Source organism: Homo sapiens, chromosome 2 (assembly GCF_000001405.40).
Source record: "Homo sapiens chromosome 2, GRCh38.p14 Primary Assembly".
Taxonomy (NCBI): domain Eukaryota; kingdom Metazoa; phylum Chordata; class Mammalia; order Primates; family Hominidae; genus Homo; species Homo sapiens.
In genome coordinates, this window is record NC_000002.12 from 158,883,211 (window position 1) to 158,893,827 (window position 10,617).

The 10,617-nt window shown below is 46.7% G+C and overlaps 1 annotated feature.

Moving 5' to 3' along the window:
* Nucleotides 10,231-10,400: an enhancer, noted in NCBI's record as "experimental_53476 CRE fragment used in MPRA reporter constructs". NCBI's record gives its function as "activates a minimal promoter by MPRAs in K562 erythroleukemia cells, with activity observed for both the introgressed and non-introgressed 2:159750038 variant alleles {active_cell/tissue: K562}" and the evidence as "EXISTENCE:reporter gene assay evidence [ECO:0000049][PMID:34662402]".

Sequence of the window (10,617 nt, forward strand, 5' to 3'; positions counted from 1 at the left end):
AACCTGGCAGAAGGGTTATTGGGCTCAAGCATCCCCAAAGAGCCTCTGGTCAGAATGACAGTTGGGGGAAGAGACATTGATTTTCTTGTAGATAGCGGTGCTGAACATTCGCTAGTAACCGCCCCGGTCGCCCCCTTATCCAAAAAGACTATTGACATCATCGGAGCCACAGGAGTTTCAGCAAAGCAAGCTTCCTGCTTGCCTCGGACTTGTACTGTAGGAGGACATAAAGTCATTCATCAGTTTTGGTACATGCCTGACTGTCCCTTGCCCTTGTTGGGAAGGGACTTGCTTAGCAAGCTGAGAGCCACTATCTCTTTGACAGAGCACGGCTCTTTCCTACTAAAGTTACCCAGAACGGGAGTCATTATGACGCTTATGGTCCCCCAAGAGAAGGAATGGAGACTTTTCTTAACTGAGCCAGGCCAAGAGAGAAGACCAGCTCTGAGTAAGCAGTGGCCAAGAGTATGGGCAGAAGACAACCCTCTGGGATTGGCAGTCAACCAAGCCCCTGTACTCATAGAAGTTAAGCCTGGGGCCCAGCTGGTTAGGCAAAAACAGGACCCGGTCCCCAGAGAAGCTCTTCAAGGTATCCAGGTCCGTCTCAAGCACCTAAGAACTTTTGGAATGATTGTTCCTTGTCAGTCTCCATGGAACACTCCCCTCCTGCCTGTTCCCAAGCCACGGACCAAGGACTACCGGCCGGTACAGGATTCGCGCTTGCTTAATCAAGCTACACTGACTTTACATCCAACAGTACCTAACCAGTCCACATTGTTGGGGTTGCTGCCAGCTGAGGACACCTTGGACCTGAAAGACGCTTTCTTTCCTATCAGATTAGCCCCTGAGAGGCAGAAGCTGTTTGCCTTTCAGTGGGAAGATCCAGAGTTAGGTGTCTCTACTCAGCACACTTGGACCGGGCTTCCCCAAGGGTTCAAGAACTCCCCCACCATCTTCGGGGAGGCATTGGCTCGAGACCTCCAGAAGTTTCCCACCAGAGACCTAGGCTGCGTGTTGCTCCAGTAGGTTGATGATCTTTTGCTGGGACACCCCACGGCAGTCGGGTGCGCCAAGGGAACAGATGCCCTACACCAGCACCTGGAGGTCTGCGGGTATAAGGTGTCCAAGAAAAAAAGCTCAGATCTGCCGACAGCAGGTACGTTACTTGGGATTTACTATCCAACAGGGGGAACACAGCCTGGGATCAGAAAGAAAGCAGGTCATTTGCAATCTAGCAGAGCCTAAGAGCAGTAGGCAGGTGAGAGAATTCTTAGGAGCTGTGGGGTTTTGTAGACTGTGGATCCCAAACTTTGCAGTATTAGCCAAGACTTTGTAAGAGGTCACAGAGGGGGTGGGGACTGGGAATCTTTAGAATGGGGATCCCAACAACAGCAAGTCTTTCATGAGTTAAAGGAAAAACTTATGTCAGCCCCAGCCCTGGGGCTACCCAATCTGACAAAGCCTTTTACATTGTATGTGTCAGAGAGAGAAAAGATGGCAGGTGGACTTTTAACCCAAACTGTGGGGCCCTGGCTGAGGCCGGTGGCCTAGCGCTCTAAACAACTAGATGGGGTTTCTAAAGGATGGCCCCCCTGTTTGAAGACCTTGGCAGCAACTGCCCTACTAGTACAAAAAGCAAATAAGCTGACTCTTGGGCAAAACCTGAACATAAAGGCTTCCCATGCTGTGGTGACTTTAATGAATACTAAAGGACATCATTGGCTAACGAATACTAGACTTACCAAGTACCAAAGTTTGCTCTGTGAAAATCCCCGTATAACCATTGAAGTTTGTAACACCCTACACCCCGCCACCTTGGTCCCGGTATCACAGAGCCCTGTTGAGCATGATTGTGTAGAAGTGTTGGACTCAATTGACTCTAGCAGACCTGACCTCCAGGACCAGCCTTGGGCATCAGTAGACTGGAAACTATACGTGGATGGGAGCAGCTTCTTCAACCCACAAGGAGAGAGATGCGCAGGGTATTCAGTGGTAACCCTGAAGCCAGATGGTTGCCCCAGGGCACTTCAGCCCAGAAAGCTGAACTCATTGCTTTCATTCGGGCCTTAGAACTCAGTGAGGCTGAGACTGTCAACATTTACACTGATTCTCGGTTTGCCTTTTTAACCCTTCAAGTGCATGGAGCATGATAGAAAGAAAAGGGCCTATTGAACTCTGGGGGAAAAGACAGAAAATATCAACAAGAAATCTTGCAATTATTAGAAGCAGTATGGAAACCCCACAAGGTGGCAGTTATGCATTGCAGAGGACACCAGCGAGCTTCCACCTTGCTGGGTTTGGGGAATTCCCGCACTGACTCAGAGGCTCAAAAAGCAGCATCTGCCCCTTTCCAGGCATCAGTCACAGCTCCTCTGCTCCCTCAAGCACCTGATCTTGGACCTACTTCTTCTAAAGAATAAAAGGACTTTCTCCAGGTAGAGGGAAGGACAAGTGATGGAGGAAGGATGGATTCGGTTACCAGATGGGAGAGTAGCTGTGCCACAGCTGCGAGGAGCTGCAGTTGTAGTGGCTGTGCATGAAACCACCCATCAATGTCAGGAGTCACTGGAAAAGTTGTTAGGCCAGTATTTCTACATCTCGCATTTGTCAGCCCTCGCCAAAACGGTGACACAGCGGTGTGTTACCTGCCGACAGCATAATGCGAGGCAAGGTCCAGCCATTCCACCCAGCATACCAGCTTATGGAGCAGCCCCCTTTGAAGATCTCCAGGTAGACTTCACAGAGATGACAAAGTGTGGAGGTAACAAGTATTTACTAGTTCTTGCACATACCTACTCTGGGTGGGTGGAGGCCTATCCAACACGAACTGAGAAAGCTCGTGAAGTAACTCCTGTGCTTCTTCGAGATCTGATTCCGAGATTTCGACTGGCCTTATGAATTGGCTCAGATAACGGGCCTGCATTTTTGGCTGCCTTGGTACAGAAGACGGCAAAGGTATTGGGGATCACACAGAAACTGCATGCCGCCTCCCGGCCTCAGAGTTCCAGAAAGGTGGAGCGGATGAATCAGACTATCAAAAAGAGTATTATTGTCTTCCCCGCTGGATATTAACAACACCACAAGGGGCGTCAAACCATCTGTTAAATTTGAGGGAATGTTATCCTCTCCCCCTGTCCCCCGGCCCCGGATATTAGAGACAATAACACAGGGGTAATGTATACCCACTGTTTTGTTGGGAGTAACATCATCCTCTCCTTTCTTGGATGTTAGGAACAATATCACACTGTGCATGTACGCCTGTCATGAAATTCAATGGAATGTCATCCTGTGCCTCCCTGGATATGATGAACAATATCACGGGGGAAGTACAACTTCTGAGATATTGGGAGTGATCTCATCCTCTCCCCTCCGGGAGTTAGGGACAATATCACAGGGGTAGTGCACACCCTCTGGGATGTTGGGACTAATATCAACCTCCCGCCCCCTGGATATTAAAAACCGTATCACAAGGGGTGTGTACACACACTTCGATATTGGTATTAATACCATCTTCTCCCTCTTTGGATATTCGGTGCCATATTTCAGGTGGGGTATACACCACCTGCAATATTGGAAGTAATATGATTTTCTCCACCCCTTGATATCAGAAACAATATCACAGGGGGTGTGAACAACCCCTGCAATATTTGGAGTAATATCATCGTCTCCCCTCGTGAATAGTAACAATATCACAGGTGGGTGGTATACACCCCCTTTGATATTTGATATCATCCTCTTCCCCCTTGGATATTAAGAACAATATCAGGGGATGTACAGACCCTGCGACATTTGCTGTCATATAATTGTCTCTCCCTTAGATATTAGGAAAAAATGTCACTGGGGATGTGAACATCCCTGCGATATTGGGAGTAGTATCATCCTCTCCCCCCTTGCATATTAGAAACAATATCACAGGTGAGGTGTACTGCCTCTGTGATATTGGGATTACAATTATCCTCTCTTCCCCTGGATATTAGGAAGCGTATCAGAGGGGGAGGGTGTACATTCCCTGCGATATTCAATGTCACCTTATCCTCTCCCTCCCAGGGTGTTCAGAACAATAGGACAGGAGGGGTGTACACACCCTGCGAAATTGAGAGTCATATCATCCTCTTTCGCTCTGGATATTAGGAACAATGTCACAGGGTTGTGTACACCCCCTGCGATATTAGGAGTAATATCATCCTCTCTCCCTGTGGATATTAGGAAGAGTATCACAGGGCTGTGTAAACCCCCTGTGGTACTGGGAGTAATATCATCCTCTCTCCCTCTGGGTATTAGGAAGATTTTAACAGGGTGTGTACACCCCCTGCGATATTGGGAGTAATATCATCCTCTCCACCCAGGAAATGACTAACAAGGTCACGGGGGAGTGTACTCCCCCTGCGATATTGGGAGTAATGTCATCCTCCCCAAACCTGGATGTTAGCAACAAGATCACAGAGGGGGTGTACACACCCTGCGACATTGGAAGTAATATGATCCTCTCCCCACCTGGATATGGGGAAAAATATCACAGTGCGGGTATACATTTCTTATGCTGTTGGGAGTAATATTCTTTTCCTTTCTGGATATTAGGAAGAACATCACAGGGTTGCTGTACAATTACTTCGATATTAGGAGTAATATCATCCTCTCCCCATTGGAACATTAGGAACAATATCCCGGGGGGTGTCCACCCTCTGTGATATTGGGGGTAATATCATCTTCTATTTCCCTGGATATTGGGCACAATATCACAAAAGGTGTACAACCCCTGCGATATTGGGAGTAATATCATACTCTCCTTCCCTGGATATTAGAAAACAGTATCGTCAGGGCTGAATCCCCCCTGCGATAATGGGAGTAATATTTTCTCTTTCACAGGCCATTAGGAACAATATCACAGCGGGTGTTTACACACTCTGCGATATTGGAGGTAACATCGTCCTCTGACAAACAGAATATTACCAACAATATCAAACAGGGGTGGTGTACACCCCCTGTGATATTGGGAGTAATATCATTCTCTCCACCTCCGGAGAGGTTTAAAAAGATAACCTCAGGCTAAAACAACTGACTGATTCAAATGTTGATGTGCCCATCCCTGAGCTGGGTGCAAATTATTTAACTTCCTTTGGCCTTTTGTTATCTGTAAAAAGGGAAGATTAATATCCAACTTTTAATTTTATGTGAGATTAAATGAAATAATGCTGGTAAAGCACTTAATGTTTTAAGTGGCTGGTACTCAAAACAATGTTAGTTCTTTCAACAAAAAACACCATGAAGAGCCAGGCACGGTGGCTCATGCCTGTAATCACGGCACTTTGGGAGGCCGAGGCAGATCACCGGAGGTCAGGAGTTCAAGACCAACCTGGCTAACACAGTGAAACCCCATTTCTATTAAAAATACAAAAAATTAGCCGGGTGTGGTGGCATGCACCTCTAATCCCAGCTACTCGGGAGTCTGAGGCAGGAGAGTCACTTGAACCCGGGAGGTGGAGGTTGCAGTGAGCTGAGATTGTGCCATTGCACTCCAACTTGGGCAACAAGAGTGAAAAAACAAAAAACAAAACAAAACAAAAAAATTAATAGGCACACCACAGATTGGAAAAAAAAAATTACAGCATATTCATCTGAAAAAGAAAAGCCAGGTGTGGTGGCTTATACCCATAATCCCAGCACTTTGGGAGACCAAGTCAGGAAGATTGAGCCCAGGAATTCAAGACCAGGACAGACAACATAGCAAGACCTCACCTCATCTCTACTGGAAAAAAAAAAAACTAGCCAGACACAGTGGCTTGTGACTGTAGTCCCAGCTACTGGGGAGGCTGAGGCATGAGGATCACTTGAGCACAGGAGGTTGAGGCTGCAGTGAGCTATAATTACACCATTGCACTCTAGCCTAAATGAACAGGGCAAGACCCTGTCTCAAAAAAAAAAAAAAAAAGTTGGAGGGAATCCATATCCTCAATATATAAAGAATTGTCACAACTCAACAATAAAAATCACCACCTCATTTAAAACATGGGCACAAAACTTGGACAGACTCTTCAGAAAAGAGGATATACAGATGGTTAAAGGCATATGAAAAGGTGCTCAACATCATTATTCATCCAGGAAATGCATATAAAGCAACAGTGAGACATCATTTCACACTCAATAGGATGACTAAAATCAAGAAAGACTGATAACACTAAACATCAGCAATGAAGCAGAGCAACTGGAACTCTCAGACCTGGGTGGTAGGAGTATAAAGAGGTGCAATTGCTTTGAAAACCAGCCTGGCACTTCCATCAGTTTAAACACACATTAAGCCTATAAACCAGAAATTACACTCCTTGTATTTATCCAAGAAAATTAAAAGTTATAACCTCAAGAACACTTGTCCATGAATGTTTGTAGCAGCCTTATTTTTAGTAGCCCCAAAGTAGAAACAACCCAAATGCCCTTCAACAGAGAAAAGATGAACAAATAGCAGCATGTTCCTACAGTGAAATACTACTTAGTCATAATAAGAAAACAACTATCGGTACTTGCAACATGATGACTCTCCAAACCATTACGTTGAGTGAAAGAAACTAGACACAAAAAGGACATTGCAGATGAAGCACAAGAAAGGCCACATTAACCTTTGGTGCTTTTGGTAACAAGAAGGATTGATTGGAAAGAGGCACGAGAGAACTTTCTGGGATCAGGAAAATGTTCTATCCTGTTTTCGTTGGTGGTTACATGGGTGTATATAATTTCCAAAATTCGTAGAACTGAACATTTAAGATCTGTGCATATTGTTGTGTTAAATGATTCATCGACGGCCAGGTGCGGTGACTCACGCCTGTAACCCCAGCACTTTGGGAGGCCGAGGTGGGCAGATCACCCGAGGTCCAGAGGTTGAGACCAGCCTGACCAACATGGAGAAACCCCACCTCTACTAAAAATACAAAATTAGCTGGGCATGGTGGTGCAGGCCTGTAATCCCAGCTACTCAGGAGGCTGAGGCAGGAGAATCGCTTGAACCCAGGAGGCGGAGGTTGTGGTGAGCTGAGATCGTGCCATTGCACTGCAACCTGGGCAACAAGCAAAACTACGTCTCAAAAAAATAAATAAATAAATAAATAATACATTGCTGTAAAATAACTTATGTTACTTATTATCTTATCATGATTACAACAAATCATCAGCAAAGCCATAGGCCTCATGGAGAATGGGAACAGGACCTGCAGCTGTTCAGGATACATCAGTAGCTCTCTGACTCCAATATTTTGTGGTCCCATCAGAACTGAGCATCTGCCGTTCCCTCATCTAGTGACTCTGTTCTCATGACTCAGATTCTCTCTCGACTCTCCAATTATTTCTCCTGCTGCCTCTCTCATTACTTCTCTTGGTTCCCATTGTAATTTTTCCTATGCTTCTCTCTCACCCCCAGAGAGAATAAGATTTGGTGAGTTAATTAGCATTCCCTGACTATTGGTCTGATGTCTCATATCCTGCCATCTCAAAAGCCTCCACTGTCCTCGCTTATAACATCTAGAGGTGCCTTTGTTAGAACTCCATTTCTGGTCCAGTCTGTATGGCCAGGGTGGCAGGGTCTCATGACACACTTCATGGCAATTTGGGTGGAAGGCAGGAACTCCAGGGGCTGTGAGGGTGGTTGAGCCCTTGAAGGTTCCTGAGTCATTGTGATGACCATGTTCAGTCATGGGGAAACAGTGCCCCTCAGCTCCCCAGTGTCTGAGTCTCCTGCCCTGGTTTTGGGGCACACATCGCTGTAGCAGGAAGGATCCAAACGTGTGTGTTTTACACCCATAATACTGCTTTAATATCTTGCCCTGATAAGGTCGCGATGTTACCAGGGCTGTCTTGTCAAATACATGCTTAACGTCAACTCTTAACTCGTCAAAGAAACCCAGAAAAACCTGTTGATCAAACAAAGCTAAGGGAGAACATCACCTTGACAAAGTCTTCATAATGTCTCATCACGGGAAAGTACAGAGAGATGTTTTCGGGTTTTTAGGACCAGCGTTGAGGATTTTCAGGCAGGTCTTGCAAGGTGGGGAACTGGTCAGAATGAGGTAGAGTTTATGACATAATAGCTTTGCGTGGTGGCTCCATGAGACGAGGGTCCTGAGGGATCTGTCGATGGGCAAGCTGCTGGTTGGTTCATACTCCTGTCTTCCGGGGCTATTAGTTTCCTGGAGCAAGCAACTCACATATTTTTGCCTGTTCCCAGCACTGGTTAATACAGGGAGAGGCAACTGTGTTTTTAGCTTTTATTGATTTGGTTGTAAAATGTTAAAGCTATTTCTCACATATTCTACTTGAATCTCCCACCTTCAAATCCATCAGTTACAAACAAGGTTTTGGTGTGCGTTGCAGTCATGGGAGACCTTGGGTAGAGAGCAGGTTGTGACAGGGTGGCTATGGTTTTTAAATTCCTACGAGACAGTAGGGGGCTTATGTTTTACCCATTGTTTTTCTTCAATTACTTTATGATCCGGAGCACTCTTCAATTTTCCTCATCTGTAAAATAAGGAAAATTAATGTATCTACTTCATGGAATTGTGGTGAGGATTAAATGACTTACCTAAGTGTGGAGAACCTGGAAAGTATTACTATTATTATTATTTCCCAATTTCTCCACCCTGGACACTGCAGCAGTCTGTCTGCCATGAAGCTGTCTTGGTAAGTCCTGCTGTGGCACTTGCCTAGGTCTTTTCCTGCCCCCTCATCTTTTGCCCTCAGTAACCACATGCACCAGTATGGCCATAGTGGTTATTTAAAATATTGAGAAACTTCTCTTTAGGTGTGCAAGCCCCTCAAGTGTCCTCTACCACTGTCACCACCACTGCTCCCTGGAACATTCCATTTTCTCTGTCAGGCAACTAAAGGTTAAACATCTCTTCTGCATTTACACAAGGGGCCTCCAAGCCCCTGCTCAGCACCATTCTCTCTCTGCTCCCTGCCTCTGTTCATGGTTCCTGCCCCCCCCACATGCTTTTTGCGCCTCCTTCTCTCAATATTCACCTGTCCAGATAATAGCGTGCAGATTTGTTGTTGTTGTTGTTGTTGTTGTTGAGACAGAGTCTCGCTCTGTCACCCAGGCTGCAGTGCAGTGGCACCATCACAGCTCACTGCAGCCTCGACTTCCTGGGCTCAAGTGACCCTCCCACCTCAGCCTTCTGAGTAGCTGGGACTACAGGCACACACTACCATGCTTGGCTAATTTTTGTATTTTTTGTAGAGATGGGGTTTCACCATGTTGCCCAGGCTGGTCTCCAACTCCTAGGCTTAAGCAATCCACCCACCTCAGGCTCCCAAAGTGCTGGGATCACAGGCTTGAGCCACTGTGTGTGGCCAATGTGCAGCTTTTAAAAAACATGTTGCTACAAGCCATGGGGCTATATACAGGTGTGTACAGTTACAAGTGAAGACTCTCAGTAGGTTCCTCACTTGAGTTTGATTCCATTTAGGAATCATTTACTGAACCCGGCATTGTGCTGAGCTGGGGGCTACCAAACAAGGAACTCTCCTCAAACCCTCAGCTAGAAAATGTCCTCAGCTGGTTCAGACTAAGGCTACATTAGCCCAAAGGCTGAGGGTCCAATATGTCAGCTCAGCCTCTGGAGTTGAGCCGACTACCTGGCCACAAACCCTCTGCCTGTTCCTACAGAAGTTGGTGACAACCTTAGGCTTGCTCTAATGTAGTTCTCCTGGTACCAGCCACTACCAGACTAAAGCCCTTTTCTCTCCCACTAGCAGTCTTCTCTGCTTTACACCCAGATGCTCAGTTTCTCCTGCTATGCTCAGTATCAGAGGCAGTTCGTTTCCATTGGAAGGAATAAAGTGACATTCCTGGTTCACCTCCTGACTGCTAGAGGTAGGTGCCACACGTGTAACCACATACATCATATCCCACATTCAGACCAAGCAAGCCCAAGGAGGGATGGGGTGGGGGGCATTCGCCACAGGCCTCCCTCTTTCAACTCCCCCACTGTTTCAAATGTCAGTGGCAGAAGTTCTGCCGGCTCAGGAGTGGGAGGAGGCACAGTGTGCGTGTGGAGGAACAGATGGCTGCAGGGGGTTGGGGCTGAGCCATTCTCCACCCCGCTGCCCGGCTTGTCCTGGCAAGTTCGTTCACTGATGGAGCACAGCCTGAGTGTTCACAGCCCCTGCCCCGTCTCCCCAACTCTGCTCTCTCTCACTGCTGTTCATCCTCCTTGGAAGCCAGAGTCCTTCTCTCCTTCCACAAGGAATCCTGTCACACTCTGCTTCACAGCCTTTGTTGACTTGCTTGGCTACAGGATAAAATGCCAACTCGGTACCTTGGCCCAGGTCAACTCCCATGTGCTACTAAAACACAGGGTGCTCCTGCCATTCCTAAAGGGATCACACTCTCTAGACCCTACCCCAGGGCACAGGCTATTATTTCCACCCGGAATTCTTAGAACCTTCCCTCACACCCTTCCCACCTGCTAAACTCCTATTCACCCTTCAAAACCCACTCCAATATTGCTTCCTCTGGAAAGCTTTCCCCAAGGCCTCTGTGGAAAAAGAGTTGTTCCCACCTCAGGGTCCCCTCAGCACTAGGTTCATACATCTAAATCAGCATATTACAGGTCTTACTATAATTTATCTGTT